Source organism: Homo sapiens, chromosome 2, assembly GCF_000001405.40.
Source record: "Homo sapiens chromosome 2, GRCh38.p14 Primary Assembly".
NCBI classification, from domain to species: domain Eukaryota; kingdom Metazoa; phylum Chordata; class Mammalia; order Primates; family Hominidae; genus Homo; species Homo sapiens.
In genome coordinates, this window is record NC_000002.12 from 81,817,847 (window position 1) to 81,831,266 (window position 13,420).

The 13,420-nt window shown below is 38.2% G+C and overlaps 1 long non-coding RNA gene across 14 annotated transcripts in view; it reads left to right on the forward strand.

The window, feature by feature from the left end:
* Positions 1–13,420, forward strand: part of LOC102724542 (uncharacterized) — a 368,996-nt gene that overhangs the window by 336,109 nt on the left and 19,467 nt on the right. For 7 of the 14 annotated variants that reach the window (NR_187699.1, NR_187693.1, NR_187698.1 and 4 more), the window contains one exon: positions 4,424–4,528. The exons of 4 other annotated variants lie outside the window; for them this stretch is intronic. This is a non-coding gene — a long non-coding RNA (uncharacterized LOC102724542). Of the gene's footprint in view, positions 1–4,423; positions 4,546–13,420 lie in introns of all 14 variants that reach the window. 3 more of the 14 variants (NR_187701.1, NR_187697.1, NR_187702.1) reach the window with 1 other exon arrangement.

Here is a 13,420-nt window from a genome sequence, read left to right on the forward strand (position 1 = left end):
ATAGACATAATAGCTTTTTAAAAACATTATTAATGTGTTTCACACTTTGCAAAGCACTCACACATAAAGACTTCTCTAGCTTTTACTGCACATGCATGACACCCGTTTTAATGAAAAAACTGAGTGAGGTTAAGATCTATGACTTCATCAAGATTCCAACCACCCTGAAATTCTACCAGTGACCTTAATGATGGATTATTATACAGTGCCCAATTTGCGCTTGTTTCTTTTCCTAAAATTGCCAGCCTCCCCAAACACAAATAAGCATGCCAACATCCATATGCTCGCATCTCCCTATACACACACAGTTCTCCTGAATGTCTCTTCTTTCTCTTAGATCCTCTGCATACAAGGAGTACATTTGTGTTAGGACATTATTGCATTGCTGTTAATAAATATCTGAGACTGGGTAATTTACAAAGAAGAGTTTTAATTGGCTCATGGTTCTTCAGGCTTTACAGGAAGCATGGTGCTGGCATCTGCTCTGCTTCTAGGGAGCCTCTGGAAGCTTACAATTTTGGTGGAAGGTGAAGGGGAGCAGGCATATCACATGGCAGAAGCAGGAGCAAGTGAGAGAAAGGGTGGGTGGGGAGATGCCACATGCTTTTAAATGACCAGATCTTGTGATAACTCACTATGGAAGACAGCACCTGCTCCCACGACCCAAACACCTCCCCCCAGGCCCCACCTCCCACATGAGATTTGGGCGGGGACAAATATCCAAATAATATCAAGATTCGTAAGTCTTCAGTTAACAAAAGTGCACTTAGCTACCTAAGAGTTCCTGGGATCCTTTTTGTTTACTTCCACAAGAGCCTAGGTTAGGGAATCATTGTGAGTTGATGTTTGGGTAATAGTTTATCATCAATACTCAAAAGTAAACTATGAAAATAATGGACAAAATAATCTGGAAGTATATTCATTAGGAATATGTCTGAAACTTTTGTAGACTTGATATATTTGACCTTCTTTCCCCTCAAGAGCCTTTCTTGCAGGGGCAGGGAGGGAGAAAAGGACAACCTTGTTATAGTCAATTGAGATGTCATGTAACACTACCACTGCTAACAACAACATGCAGTCTACACCATTTTGCTCTTTGAAACAGATAACTGCAGTTTCTCAACAAGAAGTTTCATTCTATAAAGGGTTGCATGATTAAAGTGAAGGGGATTATATCAGGGCCTGCCCAGGATGGGGGTTGGGAAAAGGGTGATGAGGAGGCAGACGATGACAAAACCTGGAAGTACTATTTTAACAGATAGTCGTGATCATTTCAAAATACAAAGGCTTTCTTCCCTTATTACCAAACCTCTAGTTACAAATCACTTGTTCAATTCCACTGCTATTACTAATATGATTACCAGTATCAAATATGATGTTTATTGTAAAAATGTCATATTTTAAATAATAATCAGGGTTGGCTTAAAGAGGGCTTAGGAAAGGTAGCCAAAGGTGAGTTAGGACATTTTTCAAATTGAATTTTTTTCTTATTGATGTTAAAAGCCCTCATTTCTCCTGCCTACTCTATATTCCTCAAGCATTGCATATCACATTCTAGAACCAGATGGCTTAAGCAAAATGTTATTAGGCTGCTACCTAGCTACTTCCTCTTCTTTGCCCCTAGGATTCTGGGCACAGATTGGTTGCTGCCAGGCATCTGAAAGCTCCAAGGAGGGAAGACTATTCCCATCCCACTTTCTCTGTCCTCACAGCTGGAGAGGTGTCACCATGACAGCTGCACAGGTTTTCCAGCATCCTTAAACCATTCCTATTAAGCTCTACACACAGGAAATCTTCCTGTACCTCATAATTAGATGTGTGAAAGTAGTCAAAGTCGGAAAAATAGGAAATAGTGCTTTAGTGGCTAATCAGAGAAGTATGGTTATTTTATACTTTTAAGGGGCTCTTTCAAATGAATTTCAGTAAGACCTTGCATCATGTCTATCAAACATTTTATGCTTTAGCAAAGAGTTTTTAAAAATTAAAATATCACATTGGATAAGTTAAATATAGAAATAGAGAGAAATTTTTCAGGCTTATGGAACAGGCTGAGTCTGAAGTCTGACACCCAGAACTAAGAAAATTCAAGGCTACTTGCGTCCTAGAAAATAGCCAGGGTTTAGGAAACAGAGGAATCATGCTAGAGTTGCAAGAATATCAAGGACTTTATGCTGGAGGTGTAAGAATACCAAGGTTTTGAGTCAGTCAAACCTACTGTTGAAGACTGACCACATAATAGATACATGATAGTATGATTTCCACAGGTGATAGAAGGAAACACTAGGCCGGGCATGGTGGTTCACAACTGTAATCGTAGCACTTTGGGAGGCTGAGGCGGGTGGATCACCTGAGGTCAGGTGTTTGAGACCAGCCTGGCCAACACTGAGAAACCCTGTCTCTACTAAAAATACAAAGTATTAGCCAGGCATGGTGGCTGGTGCCTGTAATCCCAGCAGCTTGGGAAGCTAAGGCAGGAGAATCGCTTAAACCCAGGAGGCGGAGGTTGTTGTGAGTCAAGATCGCACCATTGCACCCCAGCCTGGGCAACAAGAGCAAAACTCCATCTCAAGAAAAAAAAAAAAAAAAAAAAAAGGAAACACTAATGCTTCTGTCTCACAATGCATACTTGCCCACTTGGCTTAGTACTGTCATATAGGTTAGTGCTCACCATATATCATTTTCTTTCATTTCCTGGGTTCCAGACATGTCTTGAGGATCAGCCCAGATATGATGTTAATCTAATTGTACCTAACCAACTTCAGCAGGATCTGGACTACCTGAAGAGCTGCGGTAAAATAAGTGCCTCACTTTTCTGGTATCTTCTAAAGCTACCATTCTTAAGTGTTACCACCAAGATACTGGTGAAACTTGAGGACAGCACTAGAAAATTCATGACAGGCCAGAGAGCCTTCCTTTTCCCTCTCATTGATTCCATCTCTAATCATTGCATTTTATTTTATTTTTCTCCAAACGTAATATATATAGATTTTTATGTACTATAGATAATATATATTTTATATAATATATATATTTTTATATATATTTATATATTTTATATATTTTTATATATAATGTATATCTTATATATATTTATATATAATATATTGTAGTTCTCTGGGTCTCACTGGGGGGGAAAAAACTGTCCTAGAAAGGATTTTACTTAATATTCCATTCTCAATTTCTACCAGCAACTTCCTGTATAACATTAAAACATACAGTGGGTACAGTGGCTCATATCTGTGATCTCAACACTTTTGGAGGCTGAGGCAAGCGGACCATGAGATCAGGAGTTCGAGACCAACCTAGCCAACATAGTGAAACCCTGTCTCTACTAAAAATACAAAAAAATTAGCCGGGTGTGGTGGCAGGCGCCTGTAATCCCAGCTACTTGGGAGGCTGAGGTAAGGACAATCACTTAAACCTGGGAGGTGGAGGTTGCAGTGAGCCGAGATTGTGCCACTGCACTCCAGCACAGGTGACAGTGTGAGATTCTGTCTCAAAAAAAAAAAAAAAAAAGAAAAAGAAAACCGAAAAAACACCATACAATGTTAGAGCTAAGATTGAGGTGTGAGTGTGTGTATATGTATCACAGCACACAGATGGATTATTGTTAAGTCTTAGCAGTTGTAAGTATACTGACTTGGATTATTTGTTTTTGTTTGGTTTGGTTTACATGAAGGCTAAACTGGGTCTGGAGGATGCACTTCCAAGGTGGCTCCCTTGTGAAATGTGTACCTTTCTGAATGCTGGATAAAGGCCTCAGTTTCTCTTCACATGGAGCTCTCCATGTGACTCCTTAAGGATTCTCATGACATGGTACAGGCTTTCTCTGAGCCAGTGATACAAGACACCAAAGAGGAAGCTAGAATGCCTTTTATTATCTAGACTCCAAAGTCACATTGTGTCATTCCACTGTATATCACAGAAGGCTACCCCTAATTCAGTGTAGAACAGGACTACACAAAAGAGTGAATAAGAGCAGGGAGCAGAATTAAAGACTATCTTGGAGACTGACTGCCTCATGCCTAATATTATGATAAATTAGCATTTCAGGATCTTTATGATCTTGTCCAAACCTTATCTTTCAATATAGTCTTCTAATCTACTCTACAACGTATCTCCTACAGAGAAAAAAATATGAGTATTTTGCTGTTTTCTATTTACCTTCAAGGCTTTCTATCATCTAAGTCTTTTTTATGCTGCTATGATTTGAATGTTTTTGTCCTCTCTAAAGTTCATGTTGAAATTCAGTCCCCAGTGAAACAGTATTAGAAAGTGTGAACTTTAGGAGGGGATTGAGCATTGAGGGCTTCACCCTCATGAATTATTATATGCCCTTATAAAAACACCTTGATGGAAATTTCGTCCTTTTTTGCCCTCCTCCCTTCTGCCACATTAAGGGCACAGTATTTTTCTCCTTCAGGAAAGACAGCATTCAAGGAACCACCTTGTACGCAGACACTGAAACCTCGCGAGACAACAAAACTGCTGACACCTTGATCTTGGACTTCCCAGCCTCCAGAACTATGTGAGACATAGAACTATGTGAGACATAAATTTATGTAAATTTGTAAATTAGCCAGTCTCTGGTATTGTCTTAAAGCAGCAAAACCAGACTAAGACTTATACCCTTTCCCTATAATTAAAATTTCCTGTATATATATCCTCTTTATTCATGCCTACATGCCTCCAGAAACTTTTCTAACCTTCATATTTACTTGTGGCTGTAATTAATCTCTTTTCACATTTTAAATTTTGTGTCCTTTTTTGCTTTAATATCTTTTTTTGTTTATAGTAAACATATTTATGAATATATTTCATTTTTTTTTTTTTTGAGACAGAGTCTCGCTCTGTCACCCAGGCTGGAGTGCAGTGGCGAGATCTCAGCTCACTGCAAGCTCTGCCTCCCGGGTTCACGCCGTTCTCCTGCCTCAGCCTCCCGAGTAGCTGGGACTACAGGCACCCACCACCACACCCGGCTAATGTTTTATATTTTTAGTAGAGATGGGGTTTCACCGTGTTAGCCAGGATGGTCTTGATCTCCTGACCTCGTGATCTTCCCACCTCAGCCTCCCAAAGTGCTGGGATTACAGGCGTGAACCAGCATGCCCGGCCTTCATATTGAATTCTGACTATTTTAAGAGACGAGGTCCTCCACTATCACCCTGGCTGGTGTACAGTGGCACAATCGCAGCTCACTGAATCCTCAAACTCATGGGCTCAAGCCATCCTGTCACCTCAGACTCCCAAGTAGCTAGAACCACAAGTGTGTGCCACATGCCCAGCTAATAGGTTTATCTTCATAGAGAAGGGGTCTTGCTATGTTGCCCAGGCTGGTTTCAAACTCCTGGCCTTAAGGGATCATTCAGCCTTTGCCTCTTGAAATGTTGGAATTACAGGTGTGAGCCACTACACCTGGCCATGACATTTTAAAATCTGGAATCAATTTTCAGTTCATCTGTTTAATGTTTACAGTAACTAGCATCACTGTATTTAGCATCATCATAGACTTTCAATAAATATTTGCTGAAGAAATTGATTTAAACTATCAGAGCAGATCACATAGGGAAAAAAGGTGGTAGACAGCTCATGAAAATTTTACTTCAAAGAAGGATATCTTGCCTTTTGCTAGGTAATTTAAAATAAATCTAAAACTAAGAATATTAACAGATTTAATATTTGATTAGCTATCTTATACAGACACATAAGCACATAATCTTTTAATCTAATTCTCACAACAAATCTGAAAAGTATCAAATTTCTTTTTCATTTATGAATTGAGGCTATAAGAGTTAGTAGGTAATAAAGTCCAAATGTGACCCTGAGTCACTTTGGATCTTACTCCTATGTTTTAACTGGTTTAAAATAGCATCCCAAGATTGTGTCTCATGAAATCTGTGCGAGAAAGAAGAACCTCACATTATTCTCATAATATTCAAATACATCAAACACTATGAGAAACTGATTAATGTTAAGTAATTACAAAATCACATTAGTTTTGACTAAAAGAGGCAGATGAATGAATTGATAAAGTTAGGTCAAGCTCTTGCTTCCAGTACATAAAAAATTTAGAGGTGTTAGTGTTATAATTTTCAAAAGCTGTTACAAAGATTTTACATACACATACTCAAGTATAAATTTACACAAACCTGATACTTTGTCAATATAAACTTCTAGAAAGGAACATATGTCTTAACCTTTATAGTAATAAAATGACCTTTGTAGTCAAGAAACCTTGTTTCTCTTTAGAATAGGTATTGTGTAGATTTCAGGGCAAGGTAATTTCTAGTCCCTCCTCTGCCAACCAGAATCACTAGTAAGTACAACACCAGCAGTAGCCCAGGCCATATATTTGCATTTTGTTTGCAGATCTACCAGGATCTGATTGTATTGCCCCATTTTCAGAGTTGAAATGTATTATATGCTTACCCTAATGGCTGAGTGCCAGCTTTCCAACACTATTAAAAAAACTGACAAACTGACATTAACAAAGCAATAAGGAGTCAACAGTGGACCCTTGGCTTTTATGTCCACCAGAAAGTCAGGCTCTGAAATGCCTTCCTGGCTGCCCTCTGGAAGTTGCTGCACCAACCACTGTGCAGTGGCAGAAAGATGTTTTCTTGCTGATCATGAAGGTCTTTAAAGATCACTATCTGCTGATTTAGGTTTATTGCCATTGTGAATGTGTCATACTAGTAATAAACCTCCACTTGTTTAAGCAAAAACAGTGGAGATTACTACTTTTGCAGCTGGCAAACTTATAAATATAAAAAATGAATACACATAACGTGGAAAGGAAAAAATAGAGCAAATACTAATTTTGGGAATGAATTCCTAAGCAGTTGGGTGTGAGTAATGAGATAAGGTTAAATTATTGATCATGTATAACATGGATTATAAAATAATATGAGTATATCCTAAAGTAAAATCTCAAAAAGTACACTTTCTAAAATAAAAATAAAATTAATCTAGTTTGTTTGGCGTTCTATGCAAAACACATTTTAGGGTCAGTTAATTTTGGGGATATTTGTTCTGATAAATGATTCAACATATATTTTGTCTAGTATTTGTTGCTCTTTTTCCTTTCTGCCATTGTTGCCTGCTCTAGTCAGACTTCTCATTGTTGCCTGCTCTAGTCAGATTTCTGATACCAGAGCTCATAGGTGAAGTAGATCAAAATTTCTATTGTCACAAAATCCCCTAAGTCCCAAGGTAAAATAAAATAATGATGTATATATATAGATATGTATAACTTTTGCCAATTTGTCCCTTTATTACCAATGACCACAGAAAGGTCTCTTTTTTTCCATCCGTTGAGTAAAATGCCCTTCTTTTTAATTTTGCAAGCACCCCATGTCTTTGAGCAGTTCTGTTAGCAAGATCTACATTCCTTGATTTGGGAAGAGCAGAGCACATACCTCCTTCTCTTGGGAGAAGAGAAAATCCAAAAGGAAATTTAGTCCTACAAATTCCTTTCAAAGTAACTTTTCTTTTTTACACAGGCTCGAGGTATGTCAGGAGAGATGATACTCAAACCACCAAGTGCAGCTTTTCTTCTTATGTCCCACAGGATATGTTTGTAGCTCTATTTAGAATACTTAGCATATTGATTTTAGCTTTGTAACTTTAACTGACATTCCAAGAAAAGAGAAAAAAAATCACACATTTAAAGTCCTGTTATTCTAGTTTAAAATAATCCATTCATGTTCTAATATTTTCATTTACTTAGGTTTCCTGCTTCTGTATGATTGAGGGTTACTCCAATTAAAGTGCTTTTCATCTTCAAAGTCTTTTACAAACAGTCATTACTTACAGCTACATATGTAGTCAGGTAATGATTTTGGATTTCTCAGGGGCTTCCTGATTTATGTTTCCTCAGGGGCTTCCTGATTTATGTTTCAAAATACATGATAATTAGCAATTCCTTCTAATTCGGCATAGAAGGTGACTCTTGCGTAAATCAGTAAGCCAGAGATAAGTTAGTTTGGACGTCAAATACATAGGGTATTTTATCATTTTTCTTCTTTCCTACCTTCTTTCCTTCCTCCCTCTCTTCTTCCCTCTTTGTTTTTAATCATAGAGAATGATAGAAAACAATTTGACTTTTTCTCTTCCAGCAGTAAAGAGAATATCTATCTAATTTCAGAGTATGAAGGTGAGAGCAAAGGCAATGTATGTTTCTCCTCACACACAGCCCACAATGGTCAGAACAGAAAGGAAAATCAACCACTTAGTAGCAGGAGCTGCTTTTATACCCAGATATTTCCTAATATGTCTATCCTAATATTTCCTGTATATCTGTCCATCTCATCAGAAAGATGGTGACCATACATAGTTGTGAAAATCACTGAGTTGTCTTTTTCAAACCAGACAGTCTGGTTCTAAGATACTCTGTTGGTCCAAAGCAGAGCATAGATCATGCGTAATCCTACTTGATATTATTTCTTAAGCAATTTGATTATCTGATAAATGTAAAAAATGGTACTGTAACCACTAAAAAGTCAGGCCACTCAGTCAACCTAATGCAAAAGCCTGAGGGTGTTGCCATCATGGAGGGCAATCAGCTAGTATCACAGAAAACCATATGCTTATGGAAATCATTCTGTAAATATTTTATGAAAACTGTGGAGTATTGGCCTAAGAGTTATACATTACCATATCTAATATTAAGTAATGAAATGATACAGTCATTAGTTTATTGCTTAGAATCTGGGCATTTTGAAACTATGAAAACCTATGTGGTACCAATGACACTAAGACTAACACAGGAATACATTTGGCATCCATTTTCTCTGATCATGACTCTTCTCTTCTCCCTCAGTCCTACTTGTCAAACTTCTTTATCCCTGCATTGTAAATCTACTAGTCTAAAGTATGTTACTGTATAAGTAAAAACCTTAGAAACTATTCAGAACTCTTAAATAGGTATGAAGTCAAATGACATTTTATAACATATACAATAAGGAGTTTGTCAAAAGTTGATAAACTAAGTTCTATGATATAGTATGGTTATGTGTCCCCATCCAAATCTCATATTGAACTATAATCCTCAGTATTGGAGGTGGGGCCTGGTGGGAGGTGATTGGATTATGGGGGTGGATTTCTCATAATAGTTTACCACCATCCCCTTGGTGCTGTCTTTATGATAGTGAGTGACCTCTCATGAGATCTGGCTGCTTAAAAGTATGTTGCATCTTGTTCTCTTTCTCTTGCTCCTACCGTATGAGATGTCTGCTCCCCCTTCACTTTCCACCATGATTGTGGGTTTCCTGAGGCCTCCCCAGAAGCTGAGCAAATGCCCCAAGCCATACTTCCTATATAGCCTGCAGAATCATGAGCCAATTAAACCTCTTTTCTTTTTAAATTACTTAATCTCAGCTATCTCTTTTTAGCAATGTGAGAACTAATACACTCCATCACCTATTACATATGTAACCTGTGGAAGCTGACTTGACATTCCTTAGTCACAAACTTTTTGTCTATCAAATGGGAAAAATAATATTCCTCTCATAGGTTTTTTGTGGACATTAATAATGTAGAAGGCTTGAGGTGATTTCTATTCTGCAACATGGCAGAATAGAAGGCTCCTGACTCTCTCTACCAGTAGGCACTCTGAATAAACATTTATTCACGTATTAATTCAATCTAAGATGAGTTAAGAGGCTTCCTCTTATCAACTAAGAAAACATTTGTATCAAACCAGCAAAAAAAGCTGAGGTACACTGAGGCATGGACCAGGGACCCCGGTATGTGAAATAAAATCAGGAAGGAATCCCAAACAGCCTGCTTCTCCCTGTGGAGACGAGAGTTTGGACAACACATATAGCACTCTAACTATAGTGCAGCTGTTAATTCACCAACTTCAAGAGCAGAGGAAATTAGGCATATGTGAGTCTCTTCAGACTACAGAGAAAAAAGTGGCAGTTTTTTATGGGCATGCAAACATGTTCAAGAGCCTTGTCCCCTAAAAGCAATGCAGAGACGGGGCTTGAAAACAACTTCCTGTTTCTTTCCAGCAGGGGTTTATGATACAATCTTCCAGAGGCTATTTGATGGCCTGGCTTCTAACTTGCTTCAGGGAGCCATACAGGGACACAACAGTAGCCCTCTAGCAGCCTGAGTAGGAGCTCAGCACATGCTAAGCCTTTTCTTTGGCTCACCCCAGTGATAAATCCATGTCTAGCCATTCTACCTGGAAACACTTTATGCATGCACCAAAGCCACAACTTTAGATTCCACCCATGAGACTGTTTGCTTGATGATCTAGTTCTGGGAGTCTACAGGACTTTGTCTTCCTGAGTCTCCTAAGACCACAGAAAACAAAGGGTTGGACATACAACAGAACAACTTCCAGTAGCTGTCTCCTCAGGGTCAGATAGTACAATATGAATATGAATATGGACCTTCCCCTCATATTTTTTCCCCAGCTTAGTGCAAAGTGAGAGACAAACACCTGTGTTTAGCTTCATTATGAAAATAGAAGGAACTAGGAAAACTTCATACTCCAACCTTTCCAGCTATATCTAGAGAAACTGGTTTCTGACTTATCAGTCTTTGGGTGCTGATGGGACATTGCACATCATAATCTTCTGAGGACTACCAAAAACAGAAGAAGCAATTCAGACAAACACAAAGATTAGAAGAGGCATCTTAAAATTTCTGGCCAGATAGATTGCTGAGATCATTCTCCTACACAACTACAATCTGAAAAGAATGGGAGAGACATATTTCTTATACAATGTGCAGAAACAAACACAGAAAAATCAAGAAAAAGAAACATGGAAATATATTCCAAATAAAAGAAAAAATAAATATCTAAAAAAACAGTCTTAGTAGAATGAAGCTACCCAACAGGGAACTCAAAATAATGCTCATATAGATGATAAAAACTTCAGCCAAATTAAATTTAAAGGAGTTTAACTGAGCAATGAATGATTCACAAATCGGGCAACTCCCAGAATCACAGCAGATACAGAGAGACTCCAGGGCAGTCATGTGGTAGAAAAATATTTACAGACAAAAACAGGAAATGACATACAGAAATCAGCAGTGAGGTACAGAAACAGCTGGACTGATTACAGGTTGGCATTGCCTTATTGAACACAGTTTGAACACTTAGCAGTCTATGAGTGGTTCAAGTATTGTTGCTGGGATTGGCTAAGACTCAGTTATTGTTACAGGTGCATACTCCTAAGTCAGGTTTTCAATTTTGTCTGACTATTAAGCTAGGTTACAGTTTATCCACAGGGACTCAAGTATAGAAGTACAGAGTCCTTCTCAGGCCATATTTAGTTTGCTTTAACAAAGATGACCTCCGAAGACAGCAGAGCAATGCAAGGAAAAAAATCCCATTAATTTCAACAATAAGATAGAAAGTACAAAACATACCAGTCAGATATCATAGAAGTGAAGAAAACTATAACAACTAGAAAATTCAGTAGAGGGTTTCAACAGCAGACAAATCAAGAAGAAAAGTCAGTGAATTAGAAGACAGATACAAGAAAATCTTCTAATCTGGATCAGCAGAAGTAAAAAAGGAGTGATGAGTGAAGATAGCTTTAGAGATATATGAGACATCATCAAGTGAAACAACATACACATATTTGTTTTCAGGAGAAGAAGAAGAGAAAGACAGAAAACACAATCAAAGAAATAACGGCAATGACCCAAACCAGAACAGGTCATAATTGAATTGTCAAAATTTGAAGACAAAGGGAGAGTTTTGAAAGCAGTAAGAGAAAACTGAATTACTACGTACAAAGGAAACTTCTCATTGTATTATCAGAAGATTTTTCACCTGTAATCTTACAGGCCAGAAGAGAGTGGAAAGATACATTCACAACCCTGAAAGAAAAAAATATTGATAAAACATTCTCAGACAAATGAAGGTGAGAGAGTATATCACCAGCAGACCTACATTATAGGAAATGCTAAAGGGAATTATTTAAGTTGAAGAAAGAAGACACAAAATTACAACATTAAAACATGAAAGTAAAAAAAAAAACTGATAAAAATACATTGTCAAATCCAAAACACTAATACTGCAATGGTGGTTAGTAAAACCACCATTAAATATCTAAAATTAAGGTTAAAATGCAAAACTAATTAAAAGCAACTGAAATTACAACAATTTGTGGAAACATACAAATTATAAAAATTTGTTAATTGTAACACCAAAAACATAAAACATGAGAGGAGGGGGAGTATAGAATCTGTATATACAATCAAAAATTAAGTTGTTATCAGCATAAAGTAGCTTGTTCAGTATATGGTAATTATCTAATCCTCTAGGTAACTACAAAGCAAAAAAGCATATGATACACAAAAGATAAGATCCAAAGCATATTATGACAGAAAGCTGTCAGACCACACAGTAGAAGAGAGAAGAATAAAGAAACAAGGGATACACATAATAACCAGGAAACAGCTAACAAAATGACAGGAATAAGTCCTTACCTGTCAGTCATACAAATTGATTATATTTCCCAATCAAAAGGCATTAAACAAACAAACAAACAAAAACCAGTGGCTATTAAAACAAAACAAAACAGGGGCCGGGCGCACTGGCTCATGCCTGTAATCCCAGCACCTTGGGAGGCCAAGGCGGGTGGATCCTGAGGTCAGGAGATTGAGAGCATCCTGGCTACCAAGGCAAAACCCTGTATCTACTAAAAATACAAAAATTTAGCCAGGCGTGGTGTTGGGCACCTGTAGTCCCAGCTACTCAGGCGGCTGAGGCAGAAGAATGGAGTGATCCCGGGAGGCAGAGCTTGCGGTGAGCCAAGATCGCGCCACTGCACTCCAGCCTGGGTGACAGAGTGAGACTCTGTCTCAAAAAACAAACAAAAAAAACCAGCTGGGTGCCGTGGCTCACGCCTGTAATCCCCTCACTTTGGGAGGCCGAGGCAGGCAGATCACCTGAGGTCAGCAGTTCGAGACCAGCCTGGCCAACATGGAGAAACCCTGTCTCTACTAAAAAATACAAAATTAGCCAGGCGTGGTGGCACATGTGTGTAATCCCAGCTACTCGGGAGGCTGAGGCAGGAGAATCGCTTGAACCCGGGAGGCAGAGGTTGCGGTGAGCCGAGATCCTGCCATTGCACTCCAGCTTGGGCAAAAAGGGCAAAACTCCGTCTCATTAAAAAAAAAAAAAAAAAAAAAAAAGATGTAACTATACGCGGCTGCCCACAAGATATTCACTTTAATTAATGGACACTTACAGACTGAAGGTGAAGGGACAGAACAAAATATTCATGCAAACAGATATCAAAGGAGGGCAGGAGGGGGATATGTCCTCCTGCCATACTTATAACAGGCAAAGTAAATGTTAGGTCAGAATATATTTAAAAAAGGAAAATAAGGTAATTACATAGTGATAGAGAAGTATATGCACCCAACACTGGAGCACTTAAATATATGA